The sequence below is a fragment of the Homo sapiens genome, chromosome 22, assembly GCF_000001405.40.
Source record: "Homo sapiens chromosome 22, GRCh38.p14 Primary Assembly".
Taxonomy (NCBI): domain Eukaryota; kingdom Metazoa; phylum Chordata; class Mammalia; order Primates; family Hominidae; genus Homo; species Homo sapiens.
Window position 1 is genome coordinate 30,350,445 of NC_000022.11, and position 25,908 is coordinate 30,376,352.

The 25,908-nt window shown below is 52.6% G+C and overlaps 2 protein-coding genes and 1 long non-coding RNA gene across 18 annotated transcripts in view, besides 3 other annotated features; 1 reads left to right on the forward strand and 2 right to left on the reverse strand.

Moving 5' to 3' along the window:
* SF3A1 (splicing factor 3a subunit 1) overlaps positions 1-6,450 on the reverse strand; it is a 24,907-nt gene extending 18,457 nt beyond the window's left edge. Inside the window, exons 1-2 of the mRNA NM_005877.6 lie at positions 6,286-6,450; positions 2,507-2,628 (exon numbers count right to left, since the gene is read on the reverse strand). Coding sequence (NP_005868.1) covers positions 2,507-2,628; positions 6,286-6,348 — 185 coding nt within the window. The 5' untranslated portion in view covers positions 6,349-6,450. The remainder of the gene's footprint in view (positions 1-2,506; positions 2,629-6,285) is intronic.
* Positions 6,147-6,396: a silencer, noted in NCBI's record as "silent region_13609". NCBI's record gives its function as "represses an Ori minimal core promoter by ATAC-STARR-seq in GM12878 lymphoblastoid cells {active_cell/tissue: GM12878}" and the evidence as "EXISTENCE:reporter gene assay evidence [ECO:0000049][PMID:35858748]".
* The window catches only part of CCDC157 (coiled-coil domain containing 157), a 22,050-nt gene continuing 2,321 nt past the window's right edge, over positions 6,180-25,908 (forward strand). For 2 of the 16 annotated variants that reach the window (XM_006724278.5, XM_047441441.1), the window contains exons 1-11: positions 6,180-6,688; positions 11,517-11,670; positions 15,546-15,804; positions 18,988-19,159; positions 19,882-20,506; positions 21,206-21,283; positions 21,631-21,842; positions 23,153-23,320; positions 23,479-23,647; positions 25,014-25,219; positions 25,815-25,903. In XM_006724278.5, coding sequence (XP_006724341.1) covers positions 15,557-15,804; positions 18,988-19,159; positions 19,882-20,506; positions 21,206-21,283; positions 21,631-21,842; positions 23,153-23,320; positions 23,479-23,647; positions 25,014-25,219; positions 25,815-25,903 — 1,967 coding nt within the window. In that variant the 5' untranslated portion in view covers positions 6,180-6,688; positions 11,517-11,670; positions 15,546-15,556. Of the gene's footprint in view, positions 6,699-11,516; positions 11,671-15,499; positions 16,664-18,987; positions 19,160-19,881; positions 20,507-20,686; positions 20,772-21,205; positions 21,284-21,630; positions 21,843-23,152; positions 23,321-23,406; positions 23,648-25,013; positions 25,220-25,814; positions 25,904-25,908 lie in introns of those variants that run through there. The other 14 variants (XM_006724280.5, XM_011530266.4, XM_011530263.4 and 11 more) reach the window with 13 other exon arrangements.
* Positions 7,332-7,931: an enhancer, noted in NCBI's record as "H3K4me1 hESC enhancer chr22:30753765-30754364 (GRCh37/hg19 assembly coordinates)". NCBI's record gives its function as "activates a minimal SCP1, AML or CMV promoter by ChIP-STARR-seq in naive H9 embryonic stem cells {active_cell/tissue: H9 hESC(naive)}" and the evidence as "EXISTENCE:reporter gene assay evidence [ECO:0000049][PMID:30033119]".
* Positions 18,367-25,908, reverse strand: part of KIAA1656 (protein) — a 9,095-nt gene continuing 1,553 nt past the window's right edge. Inside the window, exon 2 of the long non-coding RNA NR_046312.1 lies at positions 18,367-25,576. This is a non-coding gene — a long non-coding RNA (KIAA1656 protein). The remainder of the gene's footprint in view (positions 25,577-25,908) is intronic.
* Positions 20,292-20,791: an enhancer, noted in NCBI's record as "H3K4me1 hESC enhancer chr22:30766725-30767224 (GRCh37/hg19 assembly coordinates)". NCBI's record gives its function as "activates a minimal SCP1, AML or CMV promoter by ChIP-STARR-seq in primed H9 embryonic stem cells {active_cell/tissue: H9 hESC(primed)}" and the evidence as "EXISTENCE:reporter gene assay evidence [ECO:0000049][PMID:30033119]".

Below are 25,908 nucleotides of genomic sequence, written 5' to 3' on the forward strand. Positions count from 1 at the left end.
GCACTCCTGCCTGCGTGTCAGAACGAGACTCTGTCTCTAAAAAAGAAATGTTGGAAACCTCCTCCTCTAAGGAAAATACAGAAATGGTGGCCAAGTCAAGGAAAGCCTTTCACCTCTACATGGTGCATCCCCTTAATAAAGGACCACAGGGCATTATGAAGACCATGGAGCAAAATGGAAAAATGCTTACAACACAGAGTGGAATATCTTTACTAGTATTACAAGGATCTAAAAAAAGGATTCCAAGGACAGAAGGAAACAGAAAAATGTGAAAACAGCTGGTAGACACTACTCTGGTAATGAGAATATGGTGATTCTTCACCCAACTCCCCTTTTCTGTATATTCTGTTTTTAAAGTATCAGGGGAAAAGGGGAGGCATGAACACTGCTAAGAGCCATTAAACATTTATCTTAAACACAACACTGTCTAAATCTGACATGACCCAATCAACATCATCACAATGTTCAATCAAGCACAGAGAAGCTTTCAACCTAATACTCAAAGGTAATCAAAGCCCTTGAAATGTAATGAGATGAATCTGCAGAGCTGACATAGTGAAAGTCTAACCAAAGTAGGCTGGTGCCGTGGCTCACGCCTGTAATCCCAGCACTTTGGGAGGCCCAGGTCGGGGGATCATTAAGTCAAGAGACTGAGACCAGCCTGGCCAACACGGTGAAACCACGTCTCTACTAAAAATACAAAAATTACCTGGGCGTGGTGGCGCACGCCTGTTGTCCCAGCTACTCGGGAGGCTGAGGCAGGAGAATCACTTGAACCCAGGAGGCAGAGGTTGCAGTGAGTTGAGACTGCACCACTGCACTCCAGCCTGGCAACAGAGTGAGACTCCATGTCATTTAAAAAAAAAAAAAAGAAAGTCTAACCAAAGTAATCTTTATGTCTAATTTTATTAGGTTGGGAAAGGAAGGACCATCCGTTAAATGATGCATACTGACTGAGACACTGCCTCAGGGGGGTGACGTGGTCCCTGGAGAACACATGCTGATTGGGCCTGCTTCCACACATGAAGGAACTGTCCAGAAATCCAGACTGATTGTGAAATCTCATTTTTACTTGTTTTGTTTTTTTTGAGACAGGGTCTCACTGTCACCCAGGCTAGAGTCCATGGCTCACTATAGCTTCAACCTTCTGGGCCCAACCGATCCTCTTGCCTCAGCCTCCTAAGTAGCTGGGATCACAGGCCCATGCCACCACAGCCAGATAACTTTTTATTTTTTGTAGACAGGGTCTCACTATGTTGCCCAGGCTAGTCTCAAATTCCTGAGTTCAAGTGATCTTCCCACCTTGGGCTCCCAAAGTGCTAGGATTACAAGCAAGAGCCACAGCACCTGACCTCCTCATTTTTAAATAGTAGCAACAAATTTGAGTTTCGAAAAAATTACTGTGAGGACAAACAAAACATCTGTAGGCTGGACATGGACTGAGGGCTGCCAAAGGAATACCTTAAATACCCTAGAGAATGTACTGACCTTTGGAGTCAAGGGGCCAGTAAAAAAATTCCATCTAAGGATGTGAGGGTAAGTACAGTGGGGAGAGACAGGGGGAACTCGGAGCAATTCCCATTCCATCTGAGGTGGCGGCTAGCACCTGCGTGGAACTGTGGGGAGAGACAGGAGGAACCCGGAGCAATTCCCATTCCATCTGAGGTGGCGGCTAGCACCTGCATGGAACTGTAGGAAGAGAGAGGATCTCTGACCAATGCCCATTCCATCTGAGAAGCCAGCTAGCACCTGCACAGGACTGTGGGGAGAGACAGGAGGAACTCAGAGCAATACCCATTCCATCTGAGGAGACGGCTAGCACCTGCATGGAACTGTGGGGAGAGAGAGGATCTCTGACCAATGCCCATTCCATCTGAGAAGCCAGCTAGCACCTGCACAGAACTGTGGGGAGAGACAGGAGGAACTCGGAACAATGCCCATTCTATCTGAGGTGGCGGCTAGCACCTGCATGGAACTGTGAGGAGAGACAGGAGGAACTCGGAGCAATGCCCATGCCATCTGAGGAGGTGACTAGCACCCGCGTGGAACTGAACTGCATGCAGCCCCATGACCTCACTCCCGCCTCACAACAACTCTGAGATGGCATTTTTTCCATTTTGCAGATGGGTCATTTGAGGCTCTTGGAATGTGGTCTTTGTACAATGAGAATAATAAACTCCCCTTTTTATCTTCCTCAGGCCAGCAGCTCAGGCACAGACACACACCATCTGTGATGAAGCAGCTTTCCAGGCATTTCCTCAGGCCAGTTTTAGAAGCAGAGGCTCCTGGTGACTGTGGGGCTAAGTGTGATTCTCACTTTGGCCACTGCTATGCTGTGTCAGGGACACCAGTCCTACCTATTGCCTACCCCAGTGCCATGTTGTGGTTTTTTATGAACTAAAAGGCCCAAGCCAACAACGTCTCTTTAAAAACCCTTGTGCTGATTCAGTGCTGAAGTCTCTTCATGCTGAAACCCACCTCTGACCCACCCAAGTAGCTCTGTTACCTGGCCACAAAGCTGGCAGTCTTGTCAACAATATTTCTGACCTCTGGAGGAGGGTAAATAATCCCCACAACTGGCTTAGAAGGTGCAGAATCCTCCTTTGAAGATGCTTCTTCTTCTGTGGGCTGTGCAAACAGGAAAAGAAATAAGGTTTTAAAGTCCCTGGTTCAGAGCAGGTTCTCCACTGTAAAACTCCTCTAGGATATCATTCAGAGTAGACTTTCATTCACAGACTTCCCTCAGGTTAGAACCCTCTACTTCAGAAAAGCAGTTCTCTTAAGTTCACTGCACCTGCAGGGGCTGCTCCTGGGGACCCAGGGAGAAGAGCAGCTTCCCTGGCTCCTCTCTCACTGGACTATCTCAGTGAGACCAGGAATCTGCATTTTTACTATGGTATGAGACCAGCACTTCTCCTGTTGTCCTTCCCAGTTTCTCCCCAACCTCCCCTTTTCCCTAGTTTATAAGACAGGAGAAAAGGGAGAAAGCAAAAAGTTGGAAAGAAACAGAAGTAAGATAAATAGCTAGACGACCTTGGTGCCACCACCTGGCCCTGGTGGTTAAAATAATAATAATATTAACCCCTGACCAAAACTACTGGTGTTATCTGTAAATTCCAGACATTGTATGAGAAAGCACTGTAAAACTTTTTGTTCTGTTAGCTGATGTATGTAGCCCCCAGTCACGTTCCTCACGCTTACTTGATCTATTATGACTCTTTCACATAGACCTTTAGAGTTGTAAGCCCTTTAAAGGGCTAGGAATTTCTTTTTCGGGGAGCTCGGCTCTTAAGACACGAGTCTGCCGACGCTCCCGGATGAATAAAAAACCTCTTCCTTCTTTAATCCGGTGTCTGAGGAGTTTTGTCTGCGACTCGTCCTGCTACATTACCAAATGCCCAGGTGATTCAGATGCAGGGACTCCGACTACATTCTGAGAAACCATGTTCCAGAATCCAGGCCATGTCTGTAACCCTGCACCCAGCGATGGGCTTGGCATGGAATTTTTAATGATTGTTTGCTGAATAAAGAAATGGGAAACTATCTGCTGACAAATTCTTCTGCCCTGAATGCCCTCTCTGCCTCTACTCCACTGTCTTAACCAACATTCAATGCTCAAGTGTTTTGTGAAATTCCACTGGAAGGCTCAGCACTAACGATCCCATAAGTACCAATATTTTTTCACCAGCAGCTTCTTCCCCTTAGTAAACAAAGGGTCAAGTCTCTTATCTTAGAGAAACGAAGTTTCTCCTCTGCCTTCATGTTCTTTTCTGCCGCTGCCTTCTCCCACACCTTCCTCTGGCAGCTAAACATCCTGAGTTCTCTTCAGTCTTGCTGGTCCCACTTCCCTGCCTCCCATCTGGTCCCCATTCATTTTAAGTGCTCTTGACAAAGTCAAAAACAACTGCCCACAGCCATTATCTGGGCGTGAATGGTGACCACTCCTTCACAAAACTCTCAACTCCTAGGCCCCATTCTTGCCTGTCTTCCCATCTTGCTCACCATTCCATTCAAGTTTCCTTCCTGACCCGTTTCACCTCCTGCACTGTGAAGCTGGAGATCCCCACTCCCACCGCCCAATTCTGTTCTTGGTTCTCTTCTCAGTTTTTGGTGTCCTCCACTTCCCCTTCCGCCTCTAGACTAAACAATCTGGCCCAAACTGATGTCCCAGAACACTCTTGTGTACTAAACAGCTTCAGGTGCAGCTAACTACTGGGCACTTTCATCTCTAACCTCTTTCCTCAGGAATAGCTACCCAGTCACCCATGCCAGAAAGTTGGGGGCTCCTCTCTCTTCCTCAGCTTCCACACTCGATGATAATAACGTTTATCAAGTTGGGCACAATGGCTTGCACCTATAATCCCGGTGACTCAGGAGGCTGAGGTAGGAAGATTGCTTGAGCCCAAGAATTCAAGGCTGCAGTAAGCTATGACTGCACCACTGCATTCCAGCCTGGGTGACAGAACGACACCCGGTCTCTTAAAAAAAACTTTTATCAAGCTATGAGTAGATCCCAGGTATTTTTCCCAAGCACTTTAAATATATTAACTCTTATAACCTTTAGAAGAAGCCTATAAGATTAAGTACTCTTTTTTTTTTTGAGACAGTCTCTTGCTGTCGCCCAGGCTGGAGTGCAGCGGCATGATCTTGGCTCATTGCAACTTCTGCTTCCCAGGTTCAAGCAATTCTCTCCCGAATAGTGGGGATTACAAACATGCACCACCACACCTGGCTAATTTTTTATTTTTAGTAGAGACAGTTTTGCTATGTTGGCCAGGCTGGTCTCAAACTCCTGACCTCAAGTGATCTGTCTGCCTCGGCCTCCCAAACTGCTGGAATTACAGGCGTGAGCCACTGGACCCGGCCAAGAACTCTTAATATCTCCACATTACAGATGACAAAACTGAGAGATGGAGAGCTTAATGTCCAACTGGCAGAACCAGGATTCTAACACACCACTCTGGCTGAAGAGCCTGCCTACCCCCTCTGCCCTAATCTCGGCCAGGCCTTCAGCCTCTTTGGAATAGCGTGACTGGCCTCCCCTCATAGTGATTCTCCACACGTCTGCCTACCTGAATTTCTGAAACACAAATGTCACTATTTGGCTTAAAACACTCCCTTTTCTTCCCACTGTCTACAAGGAAAAGTTCAAATCCTAAGTAAGAATCGCATCTCCTGCCACTACGCTCCTAAGTCTATGCTTCAACACTTGTTCATTTACTCTTGATCAGAGACACCGTTTGATTCACCTCGGTGTCTTTGCGCATATTATCTGGCTATTACCTTATTTTCCCCCAATGCCTGGGAAAATGCCAGGGACACACGGGCACTTAAATATTTGTGGAAAAGGCATGGCTTCTTCAGTCATGTTCCCCCCCCCCGCCCCCCTTATTCTGAACCCAAAGCAATGATCAGCGTATGTGTTCAATAAATATTTGCTGGATGAATAAAGGATGCTATTTCCCTTCCCTAGTCACCTACCTGGCAAACTCCTATTCCTTCTTCTAAAAGAAATTTACCTCTCACTCTTGTGGGCTTCCCTACCTTAATATCCCTTCTAGCCCAGCAAACAATGTTCATTAGATTTGTACCTGAAACTTCTATCACAGGGCATATCACACCATACTACAATGGTTTGTGCACATTCGAGATTGGAGAGCTTTATTAAGGGCGGGCTGGCACTGTATCATCGATGGCCATTGGGACAACAAACATTTGGTGAGCATTCTCATATGTCTGTCTTCTCGTTAGCCTGTGAGCTCCCTAGGCAGGGACCATGCCCCATTCATTCCGGTAATGTGGGAGCCTGGCACGGTGTCTGGCTTGGGGCAGACACCGAAATAGATGCTGAGAATTAACATCCAAAGATGTACCGTGCAGGCTGGGAAATTAGCCATTACTGGGGAAAGGCTGTGGCCGGCGGCCCCAACTGCTACATAAGATCAGAGGATGGGCTGGATCAGCGCCTCTCGCACTTATAAATCAATCACCTTAGGATTTTGTTCAAATGTAGATTCCTATTTAAAAGATCTACGGCGGAGACTCCACATTTCTAAGAAGCTCCCGGCTCGTGCCGACGGGGCTGCTCCGCGGACCACTTAGAGAATCCCGTTCAGGGTGGCTCATTTCGCTACCAGAACACCACCATAGCGCGGGAAGCGCGCAGCCTCTTGGGACTTGCAGTCCCTCCAAGCCCTTCATAGCGGCCGGCCGCTTATTCCTGTGCGAGTAAGGAGCGCCCAGGCCAACCCTCCGGCTGCAGGCTGAGGGGCGGGGGAGAGGTACCTGTTTGGGCTCCGTGGGCACGGGCGGCGGCGGGGGCACCGCCTGCACGGGTCCGGCCGGCATGACTGCGACGCTCAGGGCTGCCAGTCCGCCTCGGTGTCGGTGAGCGGTGCCGCCTCAAGACAGCCTCCCCGCTCGGTCAGTACGACGAGCTCGCAAGATGGCGGCGGCCGAGCGAGTTGCGGCCGCGAAGGTACGACTGGCGCACTTCCGGGACCGTCCCCTCGCCGTGACGCGCTTCCCGCCCCTCCCCGCGGGCACCGCGGCGTCCGACGCCGTTGCCAAGGCAGCGGCCTGAGCGCCCGGCTAGGGCTTTTCGGGGATCCCGGTGGCCGCAGGCGCACCGGGGGCAGTTCCGGGAGCCGACCAGACACGAAGGCTGAAGCCGCGACGCCGAAGACAGGTGAGATGTTGTACGTCACCCGCCGGACCCCCGCCGCACTCACCTCGCGGCTCCTTTACTCCACAGGCCAGTACCTCGCTCCCTTCGACCCCGCCTTCCAAGAGCCCAGCTCCCTCCCATTGGTCTCTCATTTAGGAGAGCCCCTGTCCCCTCAGGCTCACCGCCTAAGAGCCCCACTTCCCTACTCCCTTAGTCCCCCCTTTCATTTCAGACCCACATCCTCCAAGCCCCGCTTCCAAATCCTACGCCCTTAATTCGCTTTTCCCACGGAACCTGCCTTTTCTTGCTTCCATCCCCTGCCTTCCGTAGTCCCGCCCTCAAGCCCCACTGGGGGCCTCCCTCTCAAATCAAGGCTGCTGCTTTCTTTGTCTTTCTTTTTTCTTTTTTTCTGAGACAAGGTCTTGCTCTGTCACCCAGGCTGGAGTGCAGTGGCGCGATCTTGACTCTCTGCAACCTCCGCCTCCCGAGTTCAAGCGATTCTCCTGCCTCAGCCTCCCGAGTGGCTGGGACTACAGGCGCCCACCACACCCGGCTAATTTTTTTTTTTTTTTTTTTGGCATTTTTAGTAGAGACGGGGTTTCACCATGCTGGCCAGGCTGGTCTGGAACTCCTGACCTCAAATGATCCGCCCGCCTCGGCTTCCCAAAGTGTTAGGGTTACAGGCGTGAGCCACCGCGCCCGGCCAGTTTTTAAATTTTTTTTTTTGTAGGGACATGGGAGGACGTCTCCCTATGTTGCCCAGGCTGGTCTCAAACTCCTGGGGTCAAGCGATCCTCCCGCCTTGGCCTCCCAAAGTGCTGGGATTACACGCATGAGCCATCACGCAGGGCTGCTGCTTTAGGCTTCACCCCTCACTCTCACAGATGCAGCCCTGCAAGCTATGCGGCTCGCTCCCCAGAGGCCTACCTCGAATCCCGCCGGCTTCTCTCCCTCTCCTGCGATTCCCCCCTCTCTCCTTCCTCCTCTCCTCAACTCTGGAAAGCGGGGAGCTGGCTCCGAACCTGTTCCTGGACTTCAGTTTCCTCACCTGTGAAATGAGGGAGTGATAGGAAAGGTTGCTCTCTCAAGTCTTCCCCCTCCCCCCACACACATCGTAGCTGTGTGTCATGGTTGTTATTAATGTAGAATAATGATAGCTGGGATGTATTGGTCATTTACTATGAGCCGGATACTGTGCCCAACACTTCATGTGTTACGTCATTTATTCCTTATAGCAACCTATTTACAAATGAGGACAGTGAAGTTTGGAGTTGGTAGAGTGGGAATGCAAGTTCAAGCCAGTCTTATTCCTCTACTAGTGCAGTTAGTTATTTTGCCCTCAGTCCCTTCAGTATCCCCAGGGATCCAGGCAATTAACAATCTCATGTTTGAGACTGACATCTGCCACATAGCTGGTTTTAGAGTTTCCCGTGTTTTCATGGTGGTGGCTTTGAATCTCACCAGGCACCCTGGCTGGGAAGTAGGCATCATCTTTACCGAGTAGGGTTAGGGTACTAGTTCTGAGAGAGAGAAGGCGCTTGAATGTTGAACGGAAATGCAGGAAAGGCTCCTGCTCTTCTCTGGGAGTCAAAAGTCCACCTTGAGCCCCAGGAAATTGAGGAGAGGCAGAGATAGCTGCTGCTCCTCCCTAAGGGCTCAATTAGTGCTGTCACCTATGTGGTCATGGGTACAGTGCCGGGCTGGCAGCTTCAGACTGAGGGTTCCACTCAAGACCCAGGAATTGCAGAAAGAGCTCACGTCAAGTGCTTCTTCACTTGACACACACATAAAGTACTTCTTAAACTATGCTTGTATCTGCATGACTTCAATTTTCAGAAGAAACAACATAAGGTCATCTTGGATTTTCCTGACACTTGGGCATTTGCTGCTGCTTATCTGATCCAGGATCTACTGGGAGTTGATATCCAGGATGGCCCCATGTGGCAGCTATAGTTATTTGAAGGTGAACAGATCAGTGTTTCCTGGTGCCTTCACAAGCAAGCTTATGAATTCCAGATGCTTTGCCACCTGAATACACTTTCTCCCAGGTTGGGGGCTTCTTGATTTCTTTATTTCTTTCATGCCCATTCCAGGAAGGAAACCCAGAATACTTCCGTGTGTTATTTTGCCTTTGTTTCTGCCTCCCTCCTTGGAGACATAAAATCTCTTGGGCAGCAGTAGTTCATTGGCAGTTGCCAAGACAACAGGAGTGTAGGATGTGGGCATGTGTGTTGTGAGTATCATGGGGCAGACACGTATCCCTTGGGTGATATCCCATGGGTGAAACTGGCACACACAAGCTTACCCCTTGCGGAGACCCTCAGATATCACTGGTAGTTCCTGGAGGACAGGGCTCCTTGTGCCCTGCTGTGTTCCTGGTCTTGACGTAGTGCCTGGTATGGAACAGATACTCAGTCCTCATTTGCTGAATGCACACACAGCATCCAACCCTCTGCACCGTCCAATACAGTAGCTACCAGCCAACACAGATTTTGAACATTTGAAATGGTTTCTGGTCCAAATGGCCATGTGTTGTCAAACAGGCATTAGATTTTGAGACTTAATACCATAAAAATGTTAAAAATCTCCTTAATAATTTTATATTGATATGTTGAAATGATAATGTTTTGGGTATATTGGGTTAAATAAAATATGCTGTTAAAATTAAAGTTAATTGACCTTTATTTTTACTCTTTTTAATGTGTAGGGGAGAAAAAGTAATATATTTTCCTCACTCATTGCAAGTTTAATAAAAGATTAAGGTGTCTCACGCCTATAATCCCAGCACTTTGAGAGGACAAGACGAAAAGATTGCTTGAGGCCAAGAGGCCAGGACCAGCCTGGGCAACATAGCAAGTCTCTGTCTTTACAAAAAACAAAAAAATTAGCCAGGTGCGGTGGCACCCACCTGTAGTCCTACCTACTCAGGAGGCTGAGGGGGAGGATCACTTGAGCCCAGGAGTTAAAGGTTACAATGAGCTATGACAGCACCACTGCACTGCAGCCTGAGCAACAGAGTGAGACCCTGTCTCTAAAAAATAAATAAATGAAATAAAATTTTAAAAACAGATTAACAAGAGAAAAGCATACAAATTTAATAAAAGTTTACCTGCCGGGCGCGGTGGCTCACGCCTGTAATCCCAGCACTTTGGGAGGCTGAGGCGGGCAGATCACAAGGTCAGGAGATTGAGACCATCCTGGCTAACATGGTGAAACCCCATCTCTACTAAAAAATACAAAAAAATTAGCTGGGTGTTGTGGCGGGCGCCTGTAGTCCCAGCTACTCTGGAGGCTGAGGCAGGAGAATGGCGTGAACCCAGGAGGCAGAGCTTGCAGTGAGCCGAGATCACGCCACTGCCCTCCAGCCTGAGCGACAGAGCGAGACTCCGTCTCAAAAAAAAAAAAAAGTTTTCCCTGACATGGAAACCTTCAGAAATGAAAACCCAAAGAAACAAGGAGATCTGTGTTTTTATGGTCAGTGTGCAGAATTATGATTGGTGGACCCAAAGGTATGATCTGGCGGGGCGCGATAGTTCATGCCTGTAATCCCAGCACTTTGGAAGACCAAGGAGGGTGGATCACCTGAGCTCAGGAGTTGGAGACCAGCCTGACCAATATGGTGAAACCCTGCCTCTACTACTAAATACAAAAATTGGCCGGGCATGGTGGCTCATACCTATAATCCCAGCACTTTGGGAGGCTGAGGTAGGTGGATCATGAGGTCAGGAGTTTGAGACTAGCCTGACCAACATAGTGAAACCCCATCTCTAATAAAAAATACAAAAATTCACTGGGCATGGTGGCACGTGCCTGTAGTCCCACCTACTCAGGAGGCTGAAGCAGGAGAATCACTTGAACCCAGGAAGTGGAGGTTGTAGTGAGCCAAGATCGCACCACTGCACTCCAGGCTGCGCAACAGAGCGAGACTCTCTTTCAAAAAAATAATAAATACAATTAAAAATTTAAAAAATAATAAAAATACAAAAATTAGCTGGGCGTGGTGGTGTGCACCTGTAGTCCCAGCTACTCAGGAGGCTGAGACAGGAGAATTGCTTGAACCCAGGAGGCGGAGGTTGTGGTGAGCTGAGATTGTGCCACTGTACTCCAGCCTGGGTGACAGAGCAAGACTCTGTCTCAAAAAAAAAAAAAAAAAAGAAAAAAGGTATGATCTAGTAGTAATACATGAGGGAGGGCATGGATTTAGTAAGGCCTGTTTGCTCAGATTCTTCTTGGTGTCCCTATGTGACATTGCTTCCCATCTGGGTATAGGGCAGGACACCTGTCACATGAGGGTCTTCAGGGGAGGAGGGGAGAGGTCACAGACTGACCTTCCTGGCGGCCTGCTTCAGAGAAGAAGGATGAGGGGAAGATGAGGGTGGCCTTCCTGCTTCTGCAGTTTTTTGCATTTCTAAGGTGCCATATTTTGGGGTAGCATTTCCTGTACCCCATCTGTGGCTAGTAGAAAAACCTAAAATTGTGTGTGTGGCTTATAGTATATTTCTTTTGGACACTGCTGCTCTAGAAGGACAGAGCAGAGATGGTGGACTCAGAATCTCAACTTCCTGAGTGACCTCGGGCAAGCTCCCTAACTTTTCAGAGCCTCAGTTTCCTCCTCTGTAGAAATGAGGCAGATTCAGGGAAGTGGCACACAGTAGGTTCTTCAGTCGAAGCCAGCACTATTGAAGAGTACCCTCTGCTCAGGCTGAAGGCAGGCAGCCCACCTGCCCCTTCTCTCCCCTCCTTCCTTCAGTCTGGAACCCCTTCTCCTTCCTGGACAGCCTTCTACCCTGCTCTCAGGAAGCCCTGCCTGACTGTGCTTTCACTCACTGTCACTGTCATCCCCTCCCAGGGTCTGAAGAGCTACTCAGAGCCAACCCTGCACTGGAGACAGGAAGCCGGGCACCTGGATGAGCCTCTGACCCAGAGCCCTGGAGCCCATAGGCTCGTCTGAGAACTAGACACACTCAGTCACTCCAGCTCCACGGGCAGACACCTGCACAGAGGTAAGGGGAAAGCCCCATCTTCTGGGAGGGTGAAGAGTCCACCCCTCCCCTGGGTGCCTCTGAGCTTCCCAGCACCTGTGGGCACAGGCTGGCCCTTAGTCCTCTCAGCCCAGGTGACCAGGTCATACCACACGCTCACAGGGAGACAGGCTGCCAACCACAAATAACTTCTCAAATAATGATTCCATTCTGGCGGTGGTGTATGCTGGGAAGAAAAAGAACAGGATGCTCTGAGAATGTGTGACAGGGAACCTCGCCCGGCCTGGGGCCCTGGGGAGCTTTCCTGAAGAGGGGATGTTTGGCGGGGGGCCTGAGGGAGGTGTCTTATCTAGAAGAAGTGTGGGGAAGGGCGCATTCTGGGTGGGGAGACACTGAAGCTGGGGCAGGCCACACAGGGCAGGAGCCCCAGGAAGCGGTCCAGTCTTAGTGCTGTAGAAAGAGAGGAAAAGGCTCCAAGCAGGGGTGGGTTGCCTTATTAAACAATCACTCTGGTTGCCATGTACAACCAGGATGGACCAGGTGGTACAGGGCAGAAGGGAAGTGGCTCACCCCTCAGGGAGGCTCTGGCAGTGTCTGGGGAGATGATGGGGTAGGAGCAGTGTTGATGGAGAGAAATGCTGGGTTCCCAGTGTGGTCTCGATGTAGGATTGGCAGCACTGGGTCCTGGGACATGGGGGTAGAGGAAAGAGGGAACTCAGGAAATGCCTAGTCGAGGGCTAAGCCAGGTGCACTCAGTGGGGTGCCGTTTTCTGAGATGAGGGTGGTTGGTGGGGAGGATAGGTTTGGGAGAACAATTTTTCAGCCAGCCCTGGACTTGCTGGAGGCAGAAGGGGCCATGGCCTAAATGCTGCCCAAGCAGCCCCTGCTTCAGGGAGGGGCTGGTGCAAGGAGGTACTTCCTGCTACTGAGAAATTCACCAAGGACAAGGGGCCCCTGCTGGCAGGTGGGGAGGAGCTGGAACTCAGCATCCGCATAGCTGCCTGACTCCCAGCAGAATGCTGGCTCTGAAACCAGCTGCCAGCTCACACCCCAGCCCTGCTGGAGGGTGATAAGTCACAGGAGGGACCAGGGCAGTGTCTCGCTTCTCCACCTTCTGAGTCAAGGGTCATAGACTGTTCATCCAGATCGCCACCTTCAGATGTCCACAGGCGGCAGAAGATGGACCAGAAGCATTCTGTGTGGGCCGCAGGGGAACTGGGGAAGAACGGGAGCCAGGCCCCAGCACAAGACAAGGATGGGCTTTGCCGTGGTTACTGCTAATAATATTATTAATAATAATAATAGTTAATATTGCTTAAGAACTTTTACTGGTGCCTTGTATTGGACCAAGCACCTTACTCATGACTCCTTTAATGCCTTCACAACAACCTGGCCTGCTTGGAGACAATGTCCCCATCTTACAGCTGGGCCTCAGTGACTTGCCTGAGGCCAGGAAGGGGCAGGGCTGGGATTCTCTGTATAAAAACGTAATGGCAGTCCTAGTGTTCAATAGATCAGTAGGGTGACTAGTTTATAGTGATCTATTGTACATTTCAAAATAGCTAGAAGAAAATAAATGGAATGTTTCTCTTTTTTTTTTTTTTTTTTTTTTTAAGACAGAGTCTCACTCTGTCACCCAGGCTGGAGTGCAATGGCGCGATCTCGGCTCACTGCAACCTCCACCTCCGGGATCAAGCAGTTCTCCTGTCTCAGCCTCCCAAGTATCTGGGATTATAGGCATCCGCCATCATGTCCGGCTAATTTTTGTATTTTTGTAGAGATGGGGTTTCACCATGTTGGCCAGGCTTGAACTCCTGACCTCAGGTGATCCGCCCGCCTCGGCCTCCCAAAGTGTTGGGATTACAGGCGTGAGCCATTGCGCCTGGCCTCAAAAGTTTCTTAGCATAAAAAAAAAGGCCAGGTGTGGTGGTTCTCACCTGTAATCCCAGCACTTTGAGAGGCCAAGCCTTTCAGAGAGGACTGCTTGAACCCAGAAGTTTGAGACCAGCCTGGGCAACACAGTGAGATCCCGTCTTTACAAAAAATTTTTTAAATTGCCAGCTCAAGATGTTACCCCCCCAAAATAATAAATAATTAGCTAGGTGTAGTGGCACATGCCTGTAGTCCTAGCTACTTGGGAGGCTGAGGCAGGAGGATCACTTTAAGTCCAGGAGGTTGAAGCTACAGTGAGCTGTGAGGGTGCCACTGCACTCCAGCCTGGGTGACAGAGACCATGTCTCAAAAAACAAAACAAGACAAAAAAAGTAAAAAAGAAAAGACAAATTTAAGGTGATGGATATTCTAAGTACACTGATTTGATCTTTACAAATTATATGAATGTATTAAATAATCCTGAAACTATGTACCCTGAAACTATGGACATCTATTATGCATCAGTAAAAACAAAAATTGTTTTAAAAATATATATAATGGGGCTGGGTGCCGTGGCTCACGCCTGTAATCCCAGCACTTTTGGAGGCCAAGGTGGATGGATCACTTGAGGTCAGAAGACCATCCTGGCCAACATGGAGAAACTCTATCTCTACTAAAACTGCAAAAATTAGCCAGGCGTGGTGGCGGGCACCTGTAATCCCAGCTACTCGGGAGGCTGAGGCAGGAGAATTGCTTGAACCCAGGAGGCAGAGGCTGAGGTGGAGGCTGCAGTGAGCTGAGATCACGCCACTGTACTCCAGCCTGAGCAACAGAGCTAGACACCATCTCAAAAAAAAAAAAAAACCAAAAAACATATATATAATGGCTTCTCTGTCACCGCTGGTGACAATAGGTCTTAATGCAAGTTTTCATGTTTTCCTCTCTTGCACTTTAGAAGTCAAGTGCATTTTAAATTTTCTTTGCGATTCTTTTTCTTTTCTCCATTCAATCACTGAGTCATTATTTGCCAGTGAGCATCTACAATGGGCCAGGTCCCTGGCTGGCCGCACTGGGGATACCACAGGGACTAAGGTGGCTCAGAGAGAAGGCCATTCCAGCAGAGAGCAATCACAGCTGAGATGGTGGAAGCCCAGAGGGATTATCTAAGCCAGCATGGAGGGTACTCAGGGAAGCCTTCTTGGAGGAGGTAATATCCAGGAACCCTGGAGGATGAGAGGAGTTAGCCAGGTGATGGGAATTGGACAGGGGAGCATGATTCAGACAGAGGGGACAGATGGGCGAGGATTTAGAAACAAGTGCCTGGTGTGCATGAGCTGCAACTCGTAGCTGATGGTGGTAGGAGGGGAGACTGTGGGGTGGAGGGGAGACTATGGGGTAGAGGGGAGGGGACTGGAGAGAGGTGGGGTGAGGGATGTGTCTGGAGGTGGCTTTTCTTCCACAGGCCACAGGGAGTACCGAGGCACTGTGGCCAGCATGACATGGTCCAATAGAGTTTCGTCCAAATCTCTGGAGCCGAAGTTGTTCAGATTGGAGAGGGCAGGCCTGTGACCCAGCTAGAACCTGCTGCAGTGGTCTAGGCAGGATATGACAGTGGCCTGGTGTGGCCCAACTCTCCCCATCACGCTGTAGCTGTAACTCTCAGTTGTGTGTGCCCTGTTCAAGGGTTCGCTTTGGGAGGAAAGGATGGTAGGCATGTTCTTGTTCATAGCTGTATCCACCCAGCCTTGAGCAGGGGGCCCAACATACACAAGCCCTCAGGAAGGACTTATGGAGTGATGGACTCTGCAGTATGTGCTTGGGGTAGGGGAACTGAGAGGCTGGTAAGGCCACCCAGAACCGGGTCGGAAAGGCCTTGTCACCTGGGGCTGGGAAACAGACTTCTCCCCAGGGTCTGGGGTGAACTTCCGGCCTAGCAGCTCCTGGGCAGATGAGGGTTTCAGGGAGTTTCCTCCTGCAGCAGCCACGTGGCTCTGGCTGGCAGGGCTCTTCTCTGCTCACCCCAGGATCTGTGAGGATGGCGCACCTGCTGGGCAGCCAGGCCTGCATGGAGAGCCTGCGCACAGACCTCACCGACCTGCAGGGTGCCATCGTAGACGTCTTCTCCCGCGCCGGGCCTGTGCGCTTCCCCTCCTGGAAGTTCCCTGACCGCATGGCCTGTGACCTCGACATGGTGGCCCTGCTGGAGCACTATGACCATGTTCCGGGTGACCCCGAGTTCACGCAGCTGTCCCATGCCGTGCTGCTGGAGCTGGTCATCGACAGGTGAGGGCCTTGACCAAGCCTGGTCATCTCAGGATGCCAGCACCTGCCCCTGAAACCAGTGGCAGCTACGGAAGCCCCTCCAGAGGCAGGGGTGATGTTGGAACAACAGTCACCATTGAGTACCTGTCGGGGCCACATCAGCTCAGGACTTTCAAAGTGGTCTTACCTTTTATCATGTGTCTTGTGTTGTGTGCTGTGCTATCCTGTGTTAGGCTCTCCTAGCCTGTCCACCTCAGGCAGTTGATTTCCATTCCATCGGTCTCTGTGGCACCACAGCTGTGACCACGGTCTCTCAGCCTCTCCCAGCTGCCTCCTCAGGGTTTCTATGTTGGGGACCCCATAGTTGCTTCTCAGAGTTTCCATTCCGGGCTCTCTTTCCTGTTGTCCTGTGGGTTGTGCTGTTCCCTCTGCATATCACAAGGCCGGACACGGGATGTGGTTTTCCAAATCCTGACCCGCTGGGAAGAGCCTTGCTGATTCTCCTGCAGCCTCATCACTTCTAAGCTATCATTAAAGTTAACATGGTTGGCCGGGCATGGTGGCTCACGCCTGTAATCTCATCACTTTGGGAGGCCAAGGCGGGTGCATCACTTGAGGTCAGGAGTTCAAGACCAGCCTGGCCAACATAGTGAAACCCTGTCTCTACTAAAAATACAAAAATTAGCTTGGTGTGGTGGTGCATGCCTGTAATTCCAGCTACTCAGGAGGCTGAGGCATGAGAATCGCTTGAATCTGGGAGGCAGAGGTTGCAGTGAACCAAGATCACACCAATGCACTCCAGCCTCGGTAATGGAGTAAGACTTTCTCAAAAAAAAAAAAAAGTGAAAATAAAAATAAAGTTAACATGGTGTGCTTGGCACGGTGGCTGACACTTGTAATCCCAGCATTTTGGGAGGTTAATGGGAGGATCATCTGAGAGTTCAAGACCAGCCTGGGCAACATAAGGAAACCCCATCTGTACAAAAATATTTTAAAAATTAGCTGGGTGTGTTGGTGCATGCCTTTTTTTTTTTTCTTCGGAGTTTTGCTCTTCTTGGAGTGCAGTGGTGTGATCTCAGCTCACTGCAACCTCCACCTCCTGGGTTCAAGAGATTCTCCTGCTTCAGCCTCCAAAGTAGCTGGGATTACAGGTGCCTGCTGTCACGCCTGGCTAGTTTTTTTGGATTTTTAGTGGAGACGGGGTTTCACCATGTTGACCAGGGCTGGTCTCAAACTCCTGACCTCAGGTGATCCATCTTCCTCGGCCTCCCAAAGTGCTGGGATTACAGGCGTGAGCTACTGCACCTGGCTGGTGCGTGCCTATTGTCCCATCTACTTAGGAGGCCGTGGTGGGAGGATTGTTTGAGCCCTGGAGGTCGAGGCTACAGTGAGCCATGATCATGCCACTGCACTCCAGCCTGGGCAACAGAGCAAGCCCCTGTCTCAAAGAAAGAAAAAGCAAAGCTAACATGGTCACCAGCCTTTCACATTCTGGGGACTGTATCCCAGGGTTCTAGCGCTCAAATGCCTTAAAAATGGTCAGGTGCGTTGGCTCACGTCTGTAATCCCAGCACTTTGGGAGGCCGAGGTGGGCGGATCACCTGAGGTCAGTAGTTCGAGACTAGCCTGGCCAACGAACAGGGTGAAACCCCGTCTCTACTAAAAATACAAAAATTAGCCAGGCGTGGTGGTGCCTGCCTGTAGTCCCAGCTACTCTGGAGGCTGAGGCAGGAGAATTGCTTGAACCTAAGAAGCGGAGGTTGCAGTGAGCTGAGATCGTGCCATTGCACTCCAGCCTGGCGACAGAGTGAGACTGTCTCAAAACAAACAAACAAACAAAAAACAACCTTAAAGCCGTGACGGCCAGACAGGTAGCAAAGAATGTGAGAGGGACTCCAGTGGTTTCAGGATGACCTGCCTAGGGACAGAGAAGCCAGGGTTACCACTCTGAGGGCTGGAGGAGCCCTTGGTACAAAAGCACCATCTGTAACCTCTGAGCAGCTGAACGTGTATGAGCACAGAACACACCTTCCTTTCTCCGTAACTTTATGCATTACACTGTCCCTCTGCTAGGAGTGTCCTGCCCATCCATCATGGCCTGGTTTACCCAGCCGCTTCTCTGTGAAGCTGTCTCTGACATGCCCTCTGCCCTACCTGACCCTCTGCCTACCTCTGGCTGAGTTAGAGTGGTGTAGCATTGAGCTGCTCAGTTCGTGGCAAGGGTGGGATCACGGCTGAGGCTGCAGACAGCACCACAGTCTCCCGCTGCGAGGGTCGGTTGGTCTAAGCAGACGGATTGCTCTGCCAAAGCCATGCTCTGTCCTCTTTTCAGATGCTTTCCCGTTCCCCGATGTTGCTTGGCACCATGGCAAGTGCTGTTGTCCCTGTTTGCAGAGGAGGACACCTTGGCCAGAGAGGGGCGGGGCCTTGGAGGCAGTTGGCACCTCTGCCCCCAGGCCCTCTCTGCCCAAGGCCCTACAGGTTTTGGAATGACCCTCCTGCATCTGCAAAAAGCTAAGTTCACTCATCTTCCTGGTATGTGTTGTAAACACAATACTTCTTTAAAACAGCTTGGTTCCCATGCAAATGCAAACTTAGCTTTTTATTATAATACTCCTTTTTCTTACAATTCATGCCTGACTGTAGTTTTAAACTTGGAGGTTAGGACAGAGACCTAGCTGTCTTGACACAGGTCTCCACTGTCACAGAAGCAGCTCACCCTGCAGAAGCCCCTGACTAGCCTCAGGAGACTGTGCACACTCCCTGCTCTGCCCTATCAATGTGTGTCTGTGGGCAAGCTCTTCCCCTCTCTGGGTCTCAGCTCTGTCATCTATCAAGTGGAGGCTCCGGGCCACTGGATATAAGGCAGCCATTCACCCAGAACTTTTCAAGGACTCAGGATACAACTGAGGCAAGGCCAGGCCTGGCTTCACAGAGCTCCCTGGTCCAGTGGAGAAGAGCCAGGCAGAAGTGCCACCCAGGAGACACAGAAGAGGCTCCCAAGCTGAGGCTGTGGCCAGGGAGGGCTTCCCTGAGGAAGTAGCCCCTGGGTTAGGTTTGAAGCTGGCCCAGCAGAGCATATTCTGAGACTCTCCAAGCTCTTGATGCCTGGGCCAGTTCCCCAGAGCCAGAGCTGCGGTTGTATGGTCTGAGGGTATGTTAGCACCAGCCTGGGCCCCAGCAACCTAGCATCTCTGCCCGCAGGCTCCTGCTGCTGCTTCAAAGCTGTATGAGCTACTTGGAGAACCTTGGCTCAGAGCAGATGATGCCCCCTGCACAGGCTGCGGGGCCCTGCATGTCCGTGGGGCTCACGGTGCGGCGCTTCTGGGACAGCCTGCTGAGGCTGGGCACGCTCCACCAGCAGCCACTCCCCCAGGTGGGTCCCAGCCTCTGTCTCAGGTGGGTCAGCCTCAGCCTCTATCTCCCCACTGTGGTGGCCTTCACACCTCGCCCCAGCTCTGGCTTCCTAGCCTACCACTATGTGCACCACAGCCTTTACTGGCTCCCACCGCCCTCCCAATCAAGCCCCACACAGTGTGGCGGTTAAGAACGCAGGCCTTGGGGATCATGCCTTGCTCCCTGGCTCTGACATCCCTGTGGGACTTTGGAAAAATCTTGCCTACTTTGAACCGCAGTTTCTTCATCTATACAACGGAGGTCATGTGACCCCTGTTTGTTATGGGCTATCCCGTAATCCACACAACCACCCACTGGGGAAGAACCACTGTTCCCATGATGGGAAGGAAACTAAAACTGAGAGTGGTTATGGTGACACAAGAGCAGGCAGGTCCAGTAAGCAAGAGCCCAGTAACCAGCAGCTGTGACCGTCACCATCACCTTCCCAACACCATGCATACAATCAGATCAAGCCTGGAGCTTGGGGTGCGGGCCGCAGAGAGGAGACCTGGCTGTAGTAAGCTGAGTCAGAGTAACAGAGGGAGAAAGTTCTCTCTTATTCACGTCGGTGTCAGAGAACATTTGAGGGTCTGAGTGTCAGGCAAGGCTGTCACACTGTCACAGAACATCCCCCAGGGAACCAGTCACCTCCCTCTCTACTCTCTCCCTCACCTGCTTTCCCTTGTCTTTTTCTGAACACAGAAAGGGGCAAACCAAAGGGAGACTCCCACCTCCAAGCCCACCACCAAGGGCGAGCCAGCCAGGAGCCCTGAATATCTGACTACCAAGTTAATCAAGCCCTCCTCCCCAGTGCTAGGCTTGCCCCAGACCTGCCAAGAGCCAGAGAGCATCCCTGTCAGAGCCTCCCTGCAGTTCCCAGCCACGACCTTCAAGAACACCAGGAGTGTCCACTCCCAGACCATTGAGACGGCCCTGGTGCCCTGTGACGCATGCGCCAGCGTCCAGGGAAGCCTGCAGAAGGTGGGCAAGGTGGTCATCAGCCTGTGTCAGAGCCAGAACCTGCCCTCGTCCTTAGGCCAGTTCCAGCAACTGGTGCAGGACAGCATGGGGCTCAGGCCACTGCCGGCTGCCACCGTGGGCCGCTGGGCAGCAGAGCAGAGGAAAGACCTGACGCGCCTCAGTAAGCATGTGGAGGCCCTCAGGGCCCAGCTGGAGGAGGCTGAAGGGCAGAAGGATGGCCTGAGGAAGCAGGCGGGCAAGCTGGAGCAGGCGCTGAAACAGGAGCAGGGGGCACGGCGGCGACAGGCGGAGGAGGATGAGCAGTGCCTGTCTGAGTGGGAGCACGACAAACAGCAGCTGCTCACAGGTCTGTGCCCCAGAGGCCAGACGCCTGGTGCCCAGGGGCTCTGCCACAGCCTTTGCATGGATGTTTGTGAGACAGGGCTTCCAGGGCAAGTGGTTTGTGTGGAAGAACCCAGGCTGGGACACAGGCAAGAGGCAGGGAAGGGAGGGCAGCAAGGAAGGGGGTGTTCATCCGGTGGTGACACTGTGATCTCAGTCCCACTGGGGCCACCAGGAGCTGGGCTAGGACGCTTGCCCAGACTCGTCCATCGGTCAGTGAGGGAACCGAGGTATGTATCCACTTGCACTGTCAGTCATTGAGGGCTACTTCCAGAGAGTTATTCCCCTGGCACTTCCAGCCAAGCAGAGCAGCCTCTCTGGTTGTGGCAAAAGCCATTAGAGACAAAGTTCCTGGCACCAGAAGATGGCCAGTGCCCACTGATGGGAGGCCTGAGGGATTTGCCCTTTCTGAGCCTCATCACAGTTGCCTCCATGGACGACACCAAGGCCCAGAGAGGTGTAGACACATGGCAGCCAGCCCATGAGAAGCAGGGTGGGTAAGGGCCCAGCCGCTTCCACCAGCCTCCCTAGAGCTCCTCCCATGGCCGCAGGCGGCCCCTCTGCAGGCGATGGGCTGCCTCCACTCCACGGGGCACACTGGGCATGAAGGCCGCCGGCCAGGTCCATGGGACCCTCTGAAGGGCCTCTCTCTTGGCTGCCATAGAAACAAGTGACCTAAAGACAAAGATGGCCACCCTGGAGAGAGAACTGAAACAGCAGCGGGAGTCCACACAGGCTGTGGGTAAGGAGCCCCATCATAGGCCCCCATGCCACATCTCAAGCCAGGGGTGTGGCTGGATGAGCATCGTCCATCTCTGTCCCCTGAGCATCCAGGGCAAAGTTGAAGGGAACCAGCCACAGGAGGGTGGGCCTGACCAACCACACTATTGGCGATGACCAAACTGGGTTGCCACCTCCTACCGAGAAAGCGCCTTCTATTTTCCAAACCCACCTCAGGTGGGGTCTAGAGCCCCATTTTGTGGCTGAGGACTCTGAGGCCCAGAGATGGGATGTGAGCTCCCGTCCTAGGTCTGAGGTAGTACAGCGCTCCCCTGCCCTACCCCATCCCATGTCCACTTAATGCTGCAGAGGCAAAGGCCCAGCAGCTGCAGGAGGAAGGTGAGCGCAGGGCGGCAGCGGAGAGGCAGGTGCAGCAGCTGGAGGAGCAGGTGCAGCAGTTGGAGGCGCAGGTGCAGCTGTTGGTGGGTCGGCTGGAGGGCGCTGGCCAGCAGGTCTGCTGGGCCAGCACGGAGCTGGATAAGGAGAAGGCCCGTGTCGACAGCATGGTCCGCCACCAGGAGGTGAGGCCAGGGCCCTCGCTAGCCTGGGCATCTGCAATGTAGGCTGCAGGGAAAGAGGGCTCCACTGTCAGGGAATGGGGGATCATCTATATTGGGCATCTGCTCCCTGAGATGCCTCCAGGTGTGGGGGTTGACTCACCTTTACAGAGAGTCTACCCTGAACCAGGCACTGGGGGAACAGTGACCCAGGGACTGATACTGCCCAGTGAGGCCTCACTCTGGAAGAGCGCCCCACAGGCAAAGATGAGCAGGTGTGCCACACTCTCCTGCCAGATGGCTAAGGGGTGCAGGGAGGGATGGCCACATCTGCCATGGGAATCCAGAATGGCTTCTAGGAGGAGGTGGCCTTTGAGCTGGACGCCCATGACAGGCAATTAGTCCATCAGCCAGGGGAAGGACAGGGCAGGCAGAGGGTGAGCCAGGGCCCGGGGCATAGCTGTGCTCTGGGCAATGGGGCCTCACAGGAGTCCTCAGAAGTGTGGTTGAGGGAGTAGGTGACCTGTTGCCTAGTGAAAGGGGCAGGTCTGGGGGCTGTCTTGGCTGGGTCTAACCCTCAAAAGCTCAGCAAGGAGCCAGGAGTTCAGTTGAGAGTCCCCAGGGTCAGACATGGGCCCAGGGTAGGGGAAGCCTTTCTACCCCAAGTGGGTGCTGTTCTCTGTGCCTTGCAAACTGTCACAGCCGCCATGTATCAGGTGTCTGCTGTGACCCAGGCTTCAGGCGCCGCAGCCTCTGATGCTTACTCCTCGCTACAGCAACAGGAGGTAGATACTCTTGTCACCCCCATTTTACGAATGAGGAAACAGCCTTATTGAGTGAGGTTAAGGAAGTTGCCCAAGGCCACACAGCTAGTGAGAGGTGGAGCCAGGACTCCGAGCAGTCCAGCGTTAGTTCTTCCTGCTTTCCATTCAGTGGGTGTTAGGAAATGTGGGCTTCAGCAACATGGGATGATGTGACACTGGAGACCCGAGGAGAAGAAAAACTTAGTTCCCAGAATTCCTCTCCAAGTGGGGTCTGTGTATGACTGGAAGGAAGTGGGGGTGAGACCCCCAGAGCCAGCCATCTGCGTTCCAAGGGCCGGGGTCTTCAAGCTGGGATCCTGGCCTTGACCAGGTCCGGTGTGCATCTGCCTGCTGCCAGCTTCCCCCGACCCCTACCCTTCCACGCATGTGACCAGCATTCCCTAGACACAGACACACACCCCAGGGGGGTAGCAGCCGAGGGGTAGTAGATGCTGTAGCCTCCTTAGTTCCACATGGCTGGGCCTAGCCCTGTGGGTCTCACAGCCTCCCTGCTTGTCCGTTCCTGCTTAGTCTCTGCAGGCCAAGCAGCGAGCCCTGCTAAAGCAGCTGGACAGCCTGGACCAGGAACGTGAGGAGCTGCGGGGCAGCCTGGACGAGGCTGAGGCCCAGCGGGCCCGCGTGGAGGAGCAGCTGCAGAGCGAGCGGGAGCAGGGGCAATGCCAGCTCAGGGCCCAGCAGGTGAGGGTGGGGGTCTTCCTTTTTGCCAGAGAAGTCTCCGGCCAACTGAGTGCCTGCAGGCCTGTCCCATGTCTTTTCTTGGGTAGGGACGGTGCCCCAGGGCGCTGAGTACCATGTAGCTCACTCAGGAGCCAGGCCTGAGCCTCCGTCTGTCCCAGGAGCTGCTGCAGAGCCTGCAGAGGGAGAAGCAAGGCCTGGAGCAGGCGACTACGGACCTGCGGCTAACCATCCTGGAGCTAGAACGGGAGCTGGAGGAGCTGAAGGAGCGGGAGCGGCTGCTGGTGGCCTTCCCAGACCTGCACAGGCCCACCGAGACCCAGATCCATGGTAGGGGACTGGGGATGGTGCCAAGGGCATGCTGGGGCTCAGGGCCAGCAGCTGAGGGCTCGTGTGGGCAGGACACTGGGGACTGCAGCTCCCTAGCCTGCAGCAAGGGTGTTAAAGCCAGGCGGCCAGCAGCGCAGCCCCTGTGGACCCACCACAGCACGCAAGTGCTTCATGCGTCATCCACTCTGCATAGACAGGGACGTGAAAGCCCAACAGTGATGTGACTGCCTCTAGTCACAACAGCCAAACGCAGACACAGGTCTGGTTGTCCCCACAGCCTGTGCTCTTCACTACGTCACATGCTAATTCTTGCTCGACTTCTGTGTGTCCCCCTTCTTGGTTCTTGGAATGGGTCCCCAAACCACACCATGGGACTAGTCCCAAGGACACAGCCTCCAGCTGCCCACTGTCCTGGACCCCATGGCATAGGAGTGCTAGGTACCCATCTTGGCACAGGATTGGATATCAGGTGACCTGGGTTCTCCCAGCCCCTCCAGACCCCTAAAGCACTAGGGCAAATCCTTTTGCAGAGCTGGCAGGAAGATGTGCAGTTAGCTGCTCGTGAGACATCATCCAGGCCCTTCTGTCCCCTTCTCAACCACCTTGTGAGGCAGGTCATAGCCCCATAGCTATTTCCCATAGCAGGAAACTGAACCAGAAGGGGCAGCAATTCTCCCGGGCTCCTGGAGCCAGAAGGAAGCATCCATCACAAAAGCAGGGGAAGAGCAGCCTGGCGGAATTCCTGCCGTTCCCAAGCTTGAGCTGGCCGTGTGACCTTGGACAGCTCACTTTGGCTGTAGCCTGTCCAAAACGGGGGGGCCTTGTCAGAGATTCACTCTCCTCTCATGCTTATTTGCTAAGTCTTTTTTTTTTTTTTTTTTTTTTTGAGACAGAGTCTCACTCTGTTGCCAGGCTGGAGTGCAGTGGCACAATCTCTGCTCACTGCAACCTCCACCTCCTGGGTTCAAGTGATTCTCCTGCCTCAGCCTCCTGAGTAGCTGGGACTACGGGGGCCCGCCACCACACCCAGCTCATTTTTCTATTTTTAGTAGAGACGGGGTTTCACCATGTTGGCCAGGATGGTCTTGATCTCTTGACTTAATGATCCCCTGACCTGGGCCTCCCAAAGTGCTGGGATTACAGGCGTGAGCCACCGCGCCCGGCCTTGCTAAGTCTTTTGAGAGCTCTAGGTCCCACCCAGCTCTCAGATTTTATAATACTATGGTCATCTTCCCTGCAGGTTGGGGGACAGGGAAGGGGGAATAAGGCCTCGGGAGAAGGAAGATGAGCTAGGAGGCCTGGTGCACTACACAGCTCCTTTGTGCCTCCAGGCCACCTGCCCAAGCTGGTGTGCCTCCCTTCTAAGGTCCTGTCCCATTGGGCACAGGAGGCAGATCCAGCAGCGTGGAATCCCAGATAACATGTCCCACAGACTCTGGCAACGTCACAGATCACATGGAGAGGCAAGTGCAGTCCAACGACATCCGCATCCGGGTCCTACAGGAGGAGAACGGGCGGCTCCAATCAATGCTGTCCAAAATCCGGGAAGTGGCCCAGCAGGGTGGCCTCAAGGTGGGCCTGAGAGGGCGGGCCCTTGGGGACCAGGAGGAAGCCCCTATCCAGCAGCAGGTCTTCAGACTCTGCCCCGGGAACTTGTGGAGAGCCCACCTCATCACATGAGGCCTTAGGCTGTGCTTTTGTGAAACATTTTTCACATTTCCAGAAGGCGTGAGGATGTTATGGATCCGATGCCTTCCAGTCCCATATGCCCTCTATAGCTGTCATTCCTTTAAGTGCAGCAAGAAGCCTCGTCAGGCCGGGTGCGGCGGCTCATGCCTGTAATCCCAACAATTTGAGAGGCTGAGGCGGGCAGATCACTCGAGCCCAGGAGTTTGAGACCAGCCTGGACAATATAATGGGACCCCGTTTCTACAAAAAAAAAAAGAAGCCATGTCAGAAAGAAACCTCCCCACACTTGCTGCCTGCCCAAGGCTCTGCAGCTGAGAATAGGCCCTGGAAGGCTTCCTAGGCCCTGCCCCTAGGTGAAAGGGCCCATGGATATGCGCCCGGCCCTTCCCTCCCCATCCCTGGCTACGACACCCTCTCTGTACAGTGGGGAGGGGACTCCTGGGCCCTTATAAGACTGGCTTTTTTTTTTTTTTTGTAGCTGATCCCGCAGGACCGGCTCTGGTCCCCTTCCAGCAAGGGAACCCAGGGAGCAACACCACCAGTCCAGGCCAAGAGCACATCCCCAGGGTGAG